The following is a 16433-nucleotide window of genomic DNA, read 5'->3' as shown; positions in this document are numbered from 1 at the left end:
GTAGAATCAGTTAGCTCCCTCTTTATCAATTCTCTAAGTTTAAAATTCTGTATTGGTAAAGAATAATTTTTTAAAAGCATGGCATGAATCCATGTCAAATATTTTTTACTAAACTTGCTAATAAATGAGAGAACTAGGAAGATGTTACAACTGGTTCAAAGGAGAACCCAAGGAGTAGACTTATGATTAGCATCATGATGTTTGAAAGAGTTTACAAACAGATGCAAAACTGGCCAAGAGGGCAACAGTCAATTGTATCAGACTCAATTTGCATTTCATGGATAAGAACCATTGGAAGTGCTATCAGGTTTTTAAAAAAATAATTTACAGATTTGTGAAATAAGCTTGAGACAAAAGTAGAGATGACTCTTAAGAGTGCTATAGACAGGATATTTAGTCTATCTGATATTTACTCCATTTCACTATAACTGCAGCTTAGCAAAACAAAAGATGCATGACTAGTACTTCCTGGTTGAAGAAAACACAATCTATAAAGGTATAATGCAGAGGCCACACTGCATGACTAATACTCTGCTCCAGACTCCTCGCATCTAAATTACCTAAATGCCCAGGCTGGCCCAAAGCTCTTGCTCAAGAACACCTACCCCATTCTGACCATTACACCACAATTCTGTGTATTTCTGTTGCCTTGCCTAGGCTGCATGGTATGGTTTCTATCTGTGCATCACTGAGTCTCAAACTTCAGACCACTAAGCTCCTGACCATTCCATTCCACCTCCCTTGGAAGGGAGCACTTGGTCCTCTATCCCCCTCAGGAATTTGTTGGTTAAGTATTTGGGGTATTACTAAGTCTTCCTGCATTATTGATTAAAAAAAAAAAAGCTGTGAACTCAGTGAGGTTAGACCCTCCAGCCAGAAAAGAGGCTATACTCAACTGCTGCTCCCTAACAGTTTGGTTTAGAGCTGGATGCCATGTTAGAGTAACACACAGTCTACTAAATCTCCCAAAGACACGGCAGCATTTTAAAATCTAAATACTTGTGTAGACAGCCAAACTCTGTGATAGCATTAATACTATGCTGCTAAACATAAGGCTTCTCAAGGGCAGGATAGGAGCAGAATTGTTTTCACTAAGCTCATATCTACAATGCTGAATGGAATCTAAAAAGGCATTTGCTTTCCTTCTCATTCCTTTACTCATCTAACAAATATTTATTGAATTCTATTATATAATGAGCTAAGCACTATTCTGGGTGTTGGAATACATGAATAAAAGAACAAAGTTCCCTGCTCTCCTTGTGAGTGATCCCTGAGACAGACTTAGCAGTTCCTAGACTTACACATTTCTGAACTTTAGAGTTGAGAGGTTCTGAGAAGATTCCAAGTTTACTCCAACAATAGGTTCTAAGTCTTTGCAAGTATAGCTACAAAAAAGTATGCCTATTTAAATACTTCACTCTCTCTGGTCATCATGTTAAAAAAAAAACAACAGTCAAGTGTTCATTAACTCTCCTGCCTTTTAACTAAGCCCTGGTTTTTATCAATGGATCTCTAACTTCAAAGTAAAGATACAGTGCAAGCATTCCTGAACTCCCCTGGGAAAAAATCCTTTGAGACATTTCCTTGAGAGCACAAAATGTCACATTAATATTTTCCATATATCACAAACTTTATTTACACTGGTAAAAATCAGAGTTTCTGAATGGCCTGAATGAAATAGCACATAGCTATTATTTATGTCCTCCCCAAAATCACACACCCAGAAAAGCAAGAAAAGCAAGAAAAGAGTGCCACTTTACAGAGACCTAGTCACCCTGTGGGGAAGAGCAGCAAAGAGAAGAGCAACAATATCACCGCATTTCTGTAAGGGTTCAGGAGCCCTCTGCTCCAACACCCTCTTCTTTCCTGAACAAGCCTCAGCTGACTTTACAAGGAGTTGGGGGGTGGTTAGAGGGGATGTGGGGGAATACATTTTATGTGCACCTGGTATATCTGAGAAAGCAGCCACAACACTTAGCTAGAACTAAGAACTGAGATTTTACAGTCCACTTCCCAAACTATGAGACACTTACTTTATTTATTTTAACAAGTCATTATTTTGGCAAAGCACTTCACAGCATGGCATATGACTGAAGCCTAAAATTCTCAAGCAGTACAACTCCAACATCTGAAACCAATTTATATGACAACTCCCCCTCAGTTTCATGGCAAAGAAAAAGAAATATTCTCCAATTATTAGTTTCAGAAATGATACAACCCCACATTCCCCTGCAGGCAGGCACTGTGCCTATGACACAACAGTGTGCAATGACATAAAACAAATTATTCCTACATAGCTTGTTAAGAGCCAAATCTTTGATCCACATGTCACCATGGAGTGCTAAAGACCCAGGTACAATGTGGTCCAGTTGGTTTGTAAATTAACATATTTGGACACACAACGCTAAACCCTTATGTATCGTGCAAATTCAATCAGTGGTGTCAATGGCCTTTGCTGCCTCACATCTTGCTACCACATTTGTAGCTACCAGACCCACCTTTCAGAATGTCATAAAGTAGGTTTTGATGTTCTGTAACCAGCCCTTGGGAAAACAATCAAAGTGTGTTTATGATTTGCAATATAATGTTTAACACAAGGCTATAACAAGAGAGGACCCTTTGGAAAAGAGTAATTAAGCTAAAAGGAGAATCAGGGGTAACAGTAAGCACATAAAGGCATATGCCATTCAGGGATGCATCCTCAGAATGAGAAAAAAGTGCTAATGCAAGGTTAACTGTCCCTGAGGACAGTTAGGAACTGTATTCCTAATTTTAGACCACCATAAACTCTACAATGTACTCATGAATTAATGACAGCATTTTTGGCAAAAGAAAGAAACAAAAGCACTAGTTAGAAGATACCACTGTATCAGAAACATCTCAATATGGGACATAGGGAAGTACCTCTCAGAAACTGAAAAAACAAAATGCTTTTCCTTATGTATGGGGACAGATAAAAGGATACTACACAAGTCAATGTTGCTCTGTACCACGCTGAAGAATAACAGAATTTAAGACACTGTAACTTAAGGGTGGTATTCTTTGGTAGACTCTACTGTAACCCATTTCTAGTGCCACAAGTTACCAGGTTCCTAAAGTGTAAGGAATTTTGAGAATCCCAAATTATTAGTGGCACATTCTAACATACTAGAAGCTCAAAGCTTCTCTCTACTCTACAAAGAGGAGAAATTCTGAAATGCGCAAAGAATGGAATGATTCAATAGTACTAGGTGTGCTGGAGCTATTAGTGAAAAAATATATATAGGAAAGACACAGGAAACGTGTTTTTTGTTCCTCTTTGATATAGCTTCTAAAGGGGCCATTTCTTTCCATATTGATGTCTTTCATAATCCTATCTTCTGGAGTTGGAGTTGGTGAAGTCAGGCAGCCTTGGGGCAGTCTTTCTGTGAAAGTATGGGCCATACCATTTGGAGAGTCAGCCAAGAACCAGAGAGAAGCTCAAAGGAAAGACAGCATGGAATATGGTACTTGAATCTGACTATAATCCAGTGGTAAGAGGAGCTTTCAAGGACAGGGATAACAAATATTTCCCACATAAGCCACATTCTCCATCATGTGTCACGGCAGATGCTGTTATTTATTTTATTTTATTTTATTTATTTTATTTTTGAGACATAGTTTCACTCTGTCACTTAGGCTGAAGTACAGTCGTGCAATTTTGGCTCACTGCAACCTCCGCCTCCTGGGTTCAAGCAATTCTCGTGCCTCAACCTCTCGAGTAGCTGGGATTACAGGCACACGCCACCATGCCCAGCTAATTTTTGTATTTTTAGTAGAGATGGGGTTTCGCCACGTTGGGTCCCAGGCTGGTTTCGAACTCCTGACCTCAAATGATCCACCCACCTTGGCCCCCCAAAGTGCGGGGATTACAGGCGTTAGCCATCGCACCTGGCCCTATTTCTTATTGAGATCATTCATAACCTCTGAATGCTTCCCAAAGTGCTCCAGGCATCCACCCCCAATTGTTCAGAGCTAGCAATCAAAATAAACCTTTATGCCAGTTTTGCTTGAGGTTATTAGTACTCCATCGCTAACCAGGGCAGGAAGCCACAGTTCTAAGGAATGCTGTAACAAAAGGTATGCATCACTCTAGCACAACTACTGTGTTGTATGTCCCTCAGGGGACCACTGGGGTGGTGGTAACCAGAATGAATAGCTACTTATGAATTCTCAGACGTGAGATACACATCAGAGACTATTTACTCAGATTACTGAAACTATCTGCTCAGACTCTGCAAAGAAACTCACTCTGAGTTTCACAGGACACTATAGGAGTCCATTTTCATGCCTAGTGAAATTCTGCATTTGCAGATTTTGGAAATGAAATGGAGCTATGCCCTTGTTCCTTAACACACACAGGCAAGGGGTTCAAAGGGCCTCGCACAGTCACATTTAGAATCTTGGTTCCACCATAGCACTGTTGATAAACATTCTGTGACAACCACGGAGGGCTCAAAGATAGTCACGGACTCCTACCTTGGCAACTGACACACAGCCAAATTTGACTTGCACCAGAGCTGTTAAAAGGAACCTGCTTAAGAATAACTTAGAGGCTGGCTGGGCACGGTGGCTCATGCCTGTAATCCTAGCACTTTGGGAGGCCAAGGCGGGTAGATCACCTGAGGTCAGGACTTCGAGACCAGCCTGACCAACATGGTGAAACCCCATCTCTACTAAAAATACAAAAATCAGCCAGGCGTGGTGATGGACACCTGTAATCCCACCTACTCGGGAGGCTGAGGCAGGAGAATTACATGAACCTGGAAGGTGGAGTTTCCAGTGAGCTGAAATTGCGCCACTGCACTCCAGTGTGGGTGACAGAGTGAGACTCCATCTCAAAAATAAAAAAATAAAAAATAAAGAATAACTTGGGGGCCAAAGATTGCTGTTCTGTGGGAGTCGAGAACCACTGTCCTCCAGGACTGCCATTCAGAGCTTATGTTCCAAGTCTCCTCCAGGGATTGGAGCCAAGACAGGAGCATTCTTCCCATGGTGCAGCACCAATGCAGGCGTGAGTGACAAGCCCTGAGTGAATGCTGAGGGAGTTGCTTCTCTAACCCCTACTTGAGAGGGAAAAAGAGAGCTCCATAGGACACACTACCTTCATGCTCCCCATGACTCCCCATTAATTGGGTTGTCCAACCAATCTGTCTTACTTTTTCTCAGCTGTATATTGCTAACTTATTTTTGTTATTGTTGGATTACAAGTGAACACAAACACAAGGACATTCTCTTCTACTCTCTTCCAGCCCGGTGTTCCCCAGTTACAGGGAGTGCAAGACCTTCAGTAAAAGGGTGTTACTCACTAAAGAAATGCAAGTTTGGGTTAACTAAAGTGCTTGGATATTCCGGAATTGTTTCAAATTTTGGATTTTCTTCTTTCAGATTTTGGAATATTTGCAGTATATCTACCTGTTCATCTTTCCTAATCCAAAAATCTGAAAATCTAAAATCCAAAATGCTCCAATGAGCATTTCTTTTGAGAGTCATGTTGGCACTCTCTTTAAAAGTTTTAGATTTTAAAGTTTCAGATATGGGATACTCAACATGTATTAGAAAGCACAAGGAGAGATGGTATCCACAAAGCACACACATTTTTCACTGCTTTTACAATTCTGTGAAGAACAAAGTATTTTCAGGCTAAGGAATCAACAAACCCCAAATCCATAAATTGACTTGTCTGTAGAAACGAGCTCAAAATTTAGGAATGGGGGATAGACAGCAAGTTAGACCTCTCAACTTCTGAATATCCAAAGGAATCGAGGAAGAGGAGAGAGTCTCAAAATCTTTATAAAGAAATGCTCGAGATAAAGTTGCTTTGGCTAGAGGAAGAAGGGGCTGATTGCGTGAGCCCCAGCAACAGTCCATCTGCTCGCTTGTGCAGATGTGCTGATTCTGCACCTGCACTTTAGTCACCAACCAGGGAAGTGGCAAATGCCTCAGAGGAACTTCCTGTGTTCAGTGATGGCAAATATCAGTCAAGAGCTTGCTAAAGATGGAAACACAATTTGCCTGGTCTGGAAATCAGGGTGCAAACAGGTCTAGATGAAAGGAAGAGTGAACTGTACACAGAGCAAACCAAATAAATATTAAGCAAATTGTTCATTTGAACGATATGAACAATTCGTTCAATATTTATTTGGTTTGCTCTGTGTAGGGTTCACTCATCTAGACCTCAATATACTTCTAATATTTTGTACTTTTGTATGGCTTTGTATGTATTTGAATAGAATACTTTTCATTTTCTAAACCTTGAGTTTTTGTTTTTAATGAGCACTTTATATTACAGTAATTTTTACATCAATTTGATTTGTGAGACAGATGGGAAAAAACTGAAAAACTTTAATGACAGTTTCTTATGCTGGAAACATTTAAACGTTCATAAAATGATTGATCGAGCAATGAGATATTAGTTTCCTTCCCTCAGACAGTATCTTCACATGGTTGACAACTAATTCACTGCAGGTATAAGTTATTATAACCACTTTGAAGAGCAATTAAAGGTGAAAATGTTCATATCAAACAACTCAATAACTACATGTCTAGGTGTCTATTCTAGATAAACTCTTGAACATATGCACAAACATGTTCATCACAATATTTTTTAAATAGTAAGAAAAACTGAAAATAAGCATGGTCTAATGGGGATAAAAATAAACTGTGGCATGTTCATAAAATGCAATACTATAAACCAGTTAAAATGGAGAAACAGTATATATTGTTTAGGAATAAATGCGCATGGAGTTAGGCTATAAATATATGGGTAAGTAAAAGACAGAAACACAAACCACTTTCAGAAGAGCAGTCACCTTTGGGCTTCAACTATATTTATGTTTTATTTCTTTTTTAAAAAAAATCTGAGGTGAATATGGTAAAATGTTATTAGCATTTGTTAAATATGGGTATTTATTATATTCTGTACTTTTTTGTATATTTAACGTTTTCACAATAAAAATTAATCAAACAGAAAGCAACAGTTTACCTCATGACTTGAGAGGAAAGTTATCAGAGGTTAGTTTTTTCTTTTAGAAATTTTGAGAGTGTCAACTTATTGGAACCTAGAATGATTGCTCTGGTAATTAGGTTTAAGACTTCTAATAATAACATTATCTGCAAATGTGCTGAAACGTTATTTTATTATCTTTCCATCACTGAAGTTTTGTTCACTTCAGAAATAACACAGCTAGAATGCTCTATTGAATTACAATGCTGCAACTTTGAGCAAATTTTGTGGCTTAACAGGGCATTTGTAAATCTGGCTCACTCCAACCTAATAACTTACTTATTTGTAAAAATTAGCTTACTTAATGAATTCTCTTTGTGTTGGGTCCTATAAAGGGATTTTCCCCCATTGCAAACAACAGCAGCAGCAATGTTTTCATCAAAAAATACTCTTATTTCAAAACTTAAGATATTCATCAACCACCTACCTTTTCTAGGCAGCAGAGTAGGAATTTAATTTTTATTTAAAAAGTGGCTAAACTCACACATACCCACTTTTCCAGACTTGACTTCAGTTGGTGTTGACAACTGCTTGCCAAGCAAACCCACTTGTGTGAGCTCCTCCATGGGCTACACCTGGTCAGTAGCATGCTGAAGCACTGTGGAGGGCACGTGGCTAAGAGGAAAAAAAGTGCAGTGCAGGCTGACTTTCTCTGGACCAGAGACTTCCCAAATATAAATTAAGGGTGTTCCTTAATTCTGGAAATCAGGTCCAGGGTCCCACCCAGAAGCCAACAGACTGCATTTTGTTCACCACTGCCCTAGAACTTTTGCCAAATAAGTCCTCCTTTTACCAGCTTCTGGTGCTGAGCATAGTGACTTTCTCAGTCTCTTCCCTTATCTATAATAGAACCTCCTAACTTAGTATTTCTGCCTCTGAAATATCCTGCCGTTCAACACTTTTGAAATTATCACTATTGTTCTGAGAAAACCAGACATCAACATCACTCAAGAAAATGGAGATTAATCCCAGGTCAGCATATGGGTGAACAAGCAGAAACTCAGTTCATACTATTACAAGCATAGTCACCATTGTTACCATTGACTATGACAACAGCTAATGTTACCATGCCTCCAAGCTCTCTGATAAGTACTAAACCATATTATTACATTTAATTTTCACTAAAACCCCATAAAGTTAATCTCATTTTACAGAGGAGCGAGAAATTAGAAAGGTTAACATGCCCCAGGTCATACAACTAGTAAATGGTATCCTCCCTTCTAAGATTACCTTTTAGATGGCTTTTAACTATGCAAAGTATTTATTTGGCTTCTATTTATCTTAGAAAAAATTGTATTACACATACATCATACTATAGTTTGGAACAATTATGAGGAACAAACGTAATTCAGGAAAGCTACATGCAGATACCTAGATTGAAAGGCTTTTGGAGAAGATCCATCCCTAAGGAGGACTCTACAGAACCAGAATGTTATACCCCAACAGATGGCTCCAAAAGTTTGTCCACAATATTGCAGATTTATTCAATTCTCCAAGCACCAAAGAGAAAAGACAGCTAATGTTTTGGTTCAACCTATGAGTACATTTACTTACTGCTGCCTCGTTAAGGAGAATGGGCATCTACGAGAAGCAACATTTATGAAAATGCACACTGTGAGCACAAGACCATTCTGGATACACAAGGCAGGGGTGGTTGTAGGGACACAGCTGGAATGACCCAAGTGGTAAAGCTGACAGGAAAACAAAAATAATACCCAACACTGGTATCATTAAACAAAGGAATTAGAGGAAGAGGAGGCAAATAAATATTCAAAAACCAATTGCCTTTTGTTAGACTATAACCTAACATTGATTTGACTGTCAGAGGCAGAGAATCTTTGAATGAACAGTATTTCACACTTCAAATCTAAAATTTGGTGTTCATTTTAATAGTGCTGACTTTTTTGCAATAAAAAGGAAATAAAGAAAGGAAATGGATCACTAGCTTTGAGATTATAGCATTTAGGAATGCAAGGACAATGAGAAACATGCCCTCAGTGGGTTTCTGGGCAGAAAACCGAGGGCATCTCATCAGGGCCACTATGTTTTCAGAGTCATTGCCTAAACAGGTAAACGGTGCTTAAAAAAACTGGGTGGTTTATGGATTAATCTTTATTTTACTCCCTCTGGGGAAGAGTAAAAAGTGAGAGACAATGAGAGAGAGAGATTGAGCTGGACAAAGAAAAAATATGCCAACATTGTCTTGACAACACAAGCACTGGCTGCATTTTAAATATTTATTTTTTCCTCCTAATTTTAATGGAAATATGTGGTGGCTTTGTAAGGTTCAAGTTGGCTAAGCTGAACCACAACCATTGAGACAGAGAAACAGACCATGTCCCAGTGGTCCCGCTTCTCTGGCTAAAACCTAATATAAAATACATTGCATGAATTTTTAAACAGAACAATTTTATTTTTTGCAACCAGAAAAAACTATTTTAAGGTAAGAGGGAGAATAACATGCTTCATAAAATTTGGAATCACCCACAATCCAAGCTCACAATTATTTTTCTGTCCACCTACCTCTTTATATACACTTTGGCAGATATTTGATTATACTAATTACAAAGTTTTACACAGTAGTCCCCCCTTATCTATGGGGGATACATTCTAAGACCCCCAGTAGATGCCTGAAACTTCAGATTGGATAGTACTGAACCCTATATACGCTGTTTTTCCATACATACATACCTATGATAAAATTTAATTTATAAATTAGGCACAGTAAGAGATTATCAACAGTAATAATAAAAGAGAACAATAATGACAATAGACTGTAATATAAGTTATGTGAGTGCGGTCTCTCTCTTTGTCAAAATATCTTATTGTCCTGTAGTCACTTATTTTTGGATCTCAGTTGACTGCAGATAAGTGAAACCACGGAAAGCAAAACCACGGAGGGAGGGGAGGAGACTACTGTATCTTTTTAAAAATCTTGCCATTACATACTGAGCAGATTCCCATGTCATTAAAATTTCTTTAGAAACATGACTTTTCACTGGCTGCAAAATGCTCTGCTGTCTGCATACATAGTATGACTATGGCTATAGTGTAGCTATCCTCCTCTAAGTTGTTTACAGTCATTGGCTTTTAGAGACAACATTGCCAAAAACATTCTCGCACATAATTCCTCTTCTGCATCTCTTATCACTTTCTGGAATAGGAATGTTCCAAGCTCTGGACACACGTTACCAAATGGCTTTGGTAAACATCTGCAGGTCAATGTTCAAAATGTTGGTCAACCAGTATAACAAGGGCATCCATGAATAAGAACCAGTGATGCAATGTGGGAACAGGGCAGCAAAGTTCCTGGCTGTGCCATGCCAGGAGTTAGCCCTTCAGTCCTAGAATCATGGGGGAAGAATGGTGGGCCCTTGGGAGAAGGGCCAGATTGGCAGGGTGGTTTTTACTGGGAGGGCTTGGGGCAGCTCCTGTTGACCAACTGGCATTTGGTAATATTTTGACCAGTAATACAGTTTCACTGGAGCATATCCACTGAACATCAGCCAGTGTTGGAGTTTCCATCTTACTCTCTCTTTCTCAGACTAAACAAGCCTCAATTATTTTAGTCTTCCCCTGCACTGACTTCATTGTTCAAAAGTTCAAGCCTTTTACAGATTTCCTAACAGGCTCTACAAATTGTGTTTAGTAAAGATTAGATTTGGTCAATCGTCCAAACTTGACCTTTTAAGCAATGGCAAAAGGGACAGAAACAAAATAGAAATCAAAGAGGAAAGTGTACAGTGCATGTGAACACAGCTCAAATGTTGAAAAAGGAGCCAGTTTCTAGATCACGGGATCAAAGCACAACATCAACTCTCACTGCTGTAACCAATGGTGGGTCAAAGTGGTAAAAGAATGGTTGTCTCAGTCAAACACACACACTCCTAGAGGTTGGTTTCTCCTTCCTCTGTGCCCCAGAGCCTGTCTGCTTACCCTTTTATGGAGCTTATGACAACATTTGATTACTATTTGATTCTATCTGCTTCTCCTACCAGGACCATCCACTCCAAGAAATTTGGCTTATTTTTTTAATCCTCAGAATCTAACCAAGAGTCTAGATTCTCTGTCTAGTTTTCTCTGCCCCAGAGAAGATACTCAATACACATCAAACAAATCACACACTAACTTGCCTTGCCCTTCACCAACTGCATTGCTTTGGTGAGTGAAACACCAGATACTCCAAGCTTGTTATTTCTTACTGTTTCAATCTGGGCTTATACACAAATCCTCATCTCTCAATGCCAGGGACTATGTAGATAAGACAGATAATTTCAGAGCCTGCAGAGTCTAGAAAGCTGGTTGTCCTGCAGCTACTGTGCTTCCCTTATATAGCCTTTAGAGAGGTAGGGAGGAAAGGCAGACAAATTTCTTTCTAATCATTGCTACTTCTGCCACTTTCTGTAAGCTCTTATCACATAAGAGCAGAAATGCCAGTTTGAACCCATCACTGGAGTTGAAAACTCAATTGCAGAAGACTAAACCAGGTACTTCTGAAGAAGTCTAGTAATACTGTCACTGAAGTCTAGTTTTTTTACTTTTACTGGTTCCCTCTCCCAAATCTTAACACCTAGCAAAGTGGGTCCCTGGAAATCCAATGCTCACTTTACTGTATATTTAATCAACCACAGTAAAAGAAAGAAGACATCTAACTTCTCTTCCCTCTCACATCTTCAGGCCCAGTGCCCAGCCACTGCTTCCCTTCCCAGTTTACCCCTTTTCTCACAAAGATATTGGGAAGAACTAGAAGACCGATGTCTCATCTCGTCTCCTCCTTTTCCAGCTACTTTGTGTAGAAAATGGATGGTTTCTTTTGACTTTAATTCCACTACTTTAACACGTGTTTCTTTAAATCTGTGTAAATCTGTGTTTTGATCAAGCTACTGCCTCTCCAGCACTGGAAACACAGGAGGGCTTCAGCTCTCCAGGAACTGAAAGAACTGCATCCCAATGGCCACACACAATACAACTTTAATCTTTTTGTACGTGTGGTGGACGAATTTCTTTTTGTGGGGAAGAGTCAGGAATTGATCCAATCAGGGTATACAAACCAAATTAAGGAATAAATGAAAAGTACTAGCTGAACTTCCAGCCACTTTCCTTAGATGTCTTCAGTATGTACCTAGCACCAGATCAGCAGTTTGCAGAAATCATGATAGCTGAGCTGCAGCCATGACAGGCAAGATTACTGAATGATTTAATTAAGTTAGAATCAAACACACTCAGCAGCAGAGTAAAAATTCACCTTCCCCAAAGTAGACCTCAACACATACAGAAATGTAATATGAACAATCTAATACCATTTACTTAAGCCTTGGCTTTAGAGATCAGAAACTAAGCAGGAAAAATTAGGCACAATCATCAAATCCTGATCTTTGCCTCAAATATCTGCTGTCATCACAGCTAGCAGTGTCTATATTCCCATTTACTTACTTGGCAAACTCTGAAGCCCAAGAAGGGGTACAAGTATTTTTCTGGATACTAATAAGGACTGGTTAAGTGACACAACTTGTACATTTGCTTCTGAGCAGAACAGCAATTAAAGATGATTTCTTCCTGTGCTGATAAGATTGCTGTCAGCATAATACATGTATACACCCACTTTATTTTCTCCTCTCTGAAGACTTACTCCTTACTGTTCCCAGGATTTAAAAATCATGTTAACAATAAGCAAATACAGCATGGCCAGACGCCTTTTTGTGGTCAGATGGTTCATTGTTTAAAAAGCTTCAGTTTAAAATCCAAGAGATTGTTAACAGATGCAGTTTCTGGCTAGAGACTGGGAAAAACCTCATTTAAACAAAAGAGTATGTTGTGATTGGAACTAAAAAAGGGAATTACCTTTAAAGATAAGAACCACAAACATTTCCTATTTGAAAATACCCCATCACAACTAACAGAACCCTTTTTGGACCTTTCATGAAAGTAAAAAAAAAAAAAATGACAGTGGATTGCTGTCTATGACAAAGCAAGGATGACCAACCAGTCCGGTAAGTTTTAGATTTGTTTGGACTTTCAACAAGGCCTCAACATCCATCTCTTATGCTCCCCCAAGATTACTCAATTAGACAAAATTCCAATTAACTTCTTTTGAATCGTTTTAGTCTGAGAAATATTTTCTGCTTTGATTTTGGCTCTGGAAATAGGTTTTCAACCAGAGATATAGATAGAGAAGTTTCATAAATGAACACTGAGCTTGATAAGCAGATAGCTGCTGCCGGGACTCAAGTCGCTGTTGGACAGGGAAACAGACACTGGGCTGAGCCAAGCTTGGCCCTGTCTGTAGGTCCCAGGCTCATTGGCCTTCACAACTTCTGTTCATTTTTACATGGAAAGTTTGCTTTTCACCAACTCACGCCATCTGTTTCGGTTGGCTTCAGTGGCCCCTTACTCTATGACTTTACTATGTGTGAGAATGTCTGTAATGCCCTGTATTCTAATCTTGAAAGACGGGAAATGTGACAGAGCCCTGGGAGTGTAGCTTTCCTCCAGCCTGAGAAATGGATGTGGCTTGGCTTGCTGGTGATAAGCCTGATTTGAAAAGGCTAGGCGAGAGATGTTCCAAGGAAAATAATCTGTTCTTAATATTAACGATGGCCACTATGGGGCTCTATTCTGAGAATGGGCAACCTGTCCTTCAAGAAATTACATTCTCTGAAGAGAGGTAAACATAATATCCTCCTCCTGGTTCAGTTTTCATGTTCTCATATTCATTGTGTATTTCCCAATTTATTGCAGTGACCAAAAATTCAGTTTCAGACCAAAGGCACAGTAGAGTTTTAACAGTGTTAGAAGCTCAAATTAAAATCTTTGGTGAAACAATGCTACCATCCATTTTAAAGTGAGGCAAATCTAGAACCCATGGGATTCCCTAAAGAGTCAAAATGGCTTTCCCACTGATTGCTAAGTCATATAAGGAAGCCAAGCTGTTGGAATGAAGCTAGTAGGAGAAGTGCATTCTCAAAGGTCTGTGCAATCCAGCCAGGTACTAATAAGAAAGGCCTAGCTGTCAAAAAGTGGGATTCTGAGGCCAGTGACCACATCCATATCCATCCTCCTACAAGAAGCAAACCCCCCATCATGCACACTTGAGATGAGGTTTTCAAGGGGATTCGATAGGTGTGGAAATTGAAAAATGAGCAGCAGCTGCAAGCCCGAGGTCATTACTATTCTCCAGGGTTTGCCTTTTCTAATCTAAGGGGCAGTAGTTTCCATGATTAACTTTCTATTGCTGTCAAGGGTGTAATAAAATCTGGGAAAGAAGAAAACTTTCCCTTCAGTAAGCTGCTCCTATTTTCCTGCCCTTTTCTTTCCTCTAGTGAACATTCTCAATCCCTCCTTTGTATTGTTTCCTTATTTTCAGAAAGAATCTACACTAGGATGAGCCAAAATAGACAAAGTCCTCTGTGTATACCCGCAACTTGAGGATTTCTCTTTCTCGGTTCTAGCAGCAGATTTTTAAGATGGCAGTGTGAAAAGTTTCCTTGTTTCCAAAGGCTATATAATACCAGTTTCAGAACTGAGCACATTTTATTCCATTTTAAAATTCCTTCTCAGTGTATTATATTTGTTTCTTGAGCCATGACAATCAGTTCAATAAAAAAGAGGTTTTCTAGTTGGTTCAATGTATACAAAGAGAAATGGCAGAAGAGGAGAGGAAGACATTTATTTCACAATGACATTTTACTGGTTACTACTGGATTAAGAACTCTTAAGGCTTTAGTTTGGAAATAATCTGATAGAGGCTCAGAGATCATACTGAGGGGTTAAGGCTGACCACATTTCTCAGAAAAGGCCACCAGAACTGAATCTGACACATAGTTCTACCAATTAAAATTGCCCAGCTGGAAAATTAATGTGCTTTAAATTTTTTGACAGTATTCAGTGTAACACTAATGACAATGCAGTGATTCAGTCATCATGCATTCATTTCAAAGTATCAGATGCTGGCGTTACAAAGATGGATAAGACATGGTGCCTCTTCATCAGAGGCATAAAGTCAGGTGGAGAGCCACTCACATAGGCTCACTGCTAGAGAGAGTCCCTTTATTGAGTAATGTAAGATGCTCCCAGGAGAGTGGCACAGGGCAATTACACAAGATAGCAAAGGGGGGCAGATGTGCTGAGAGATGCCACATGGGCCAATGGAGGTCCCAAGCTGCATATTGGTTTCACCTAGTAAAAGGCTTCCCTGACAGTGGTGTCTTGAAAAAATATTGGATTATTGTATAGTTTGTTCCTGTTTCCCTGGGTCGAGAGTGAGTCATCAAAGTGTCCACTGCCTGATGGAGAGCTAGGTGCTAGCCTTGACCTTCCCACTACCCCATTCTGGTTTAAATCTCTGTTGGAACAGAAGAGAAAGTGGCAAAAGGTGGCCATGAACAGAAGGAGTCCCCAAAATGGGTGTAGGGATATCCTCAGAATCTGCTACAGGGTTTAAAAGTTGGCAGAGTGCACTCTGTTTCAGGAGATACAGTCACCATGGAGTGATGCCTGGTGCCACAGATACTAGGGAATAAGAAGAGCTTTGGTGTTTCACTGTCCCCTATATCCATTCTCCCCATCTCTTGAGGTAATAGAACCCCTAGATCTTAAATGGGAAGTGACTGCCCAGAATAAAGACTTTAGTCCTTTCAGTGGATGTGGCCATGCAACCAGCAGTGGGATACGAGAGAGAGTCAGCCATGTAACTCCAGGAATGTGTCCCTCAAAGTGGGAGTGGAGGAGCCTGTGCTTCCTTTCCTTTCTTCCATCGCTGGTTTGGAACATGAAGGGGCTGGAGAGTCACCTTGGTGCATGGGATGGGGCTACACCAGAGAGATGATGAAATGGAAAGTTGTCAGAAGGTGGTTTTAGAGGGCTGTGACCCCAAACCTGGTTCTAGACCACCTGTATACAGACTGGTATGTAAAGCGCAGGGTTGGGGGGAATTTGTCTTGTGTAAGCAAACGTTATTTTGGGTTTCAGTTACACATGATTATGAATGATGGTTACAGGTGGAAAAGAGCCCAATGAAGTACTGACAAAAACAACATCCAGGGAATTGACACTGGCTACATGTAGCACCACAGCCACAACATAACACATTCAATCTGGTTTTCATATTACAAAGAGCTGTCCAATTCTAGTGGTGAAATGGAAGAGCAAATGGAATCAATGATTATTTTCCAGTTAACCATAATCACAATGAAAATCTTACCTTTTTCTTGCTACAGTATATTTGCCATTTTTTCTCAGCTGGAAGTGCAAACATGGCTTCTCTGTGTTTGTCTGTGAGGTCCAGTTCATCCTGAGAAGAAAGAAAATAATTAGTGTTTCATAGGATAAACATTATTCCTGTAGAGAACGTTATCAGTATCATCAAGGAAGAAAAAAAACAAAAACACAAACACATATTTAAATGAACTTG

At 39.6% G+C, this 16433-nt stretch overlaps 1 protein-coding gene across 5 annotated transcripts in view; it reads right to left on the bottom strand.

Annotated features, from left to right (window-relative positions):
- DAAM1 (dishevelled associated activator of morphogenesis 1) overlaps nucleotides 1-16433 on the bottom strand; it is a 182739-nt gene that overhangs the window by 63876 nt on the left and 102430 nt on the right. For all 5 annotated transcript variants that reach the window (XM_005267431.2, XM_047431135.1, XM_005267430.3 and 2 more), the window contains one exon: nucleotides 16224-16313. In XM_005267431.2, the coding sequence (XP_005267488.1) occupies nucleotides 16224-16313 (90 nt within the window). The remainder of the gene's footprint in view (nucleotides 1-16223; nucleotides 16314-16433) is intronic.

The sequence above is a fragment of the Homo sapiens genome, chromosome 14 (genome assembly GCF_000001405.40).
Source record: "Homo sapiens chromosome 14, GRCh38.p14 Primary Assembly".
Taxonomy (NCBI): Eukaryota; Metazoa; Chordata; class Mammalia; order Primates; family Hominidae; genus Homo; species Homo sapiens.
The sequence above is the reverse complement of the archived record's forward strand: the minus strand, read 5'-3'. Positions and strand labels throughout refer to the sequence as shown.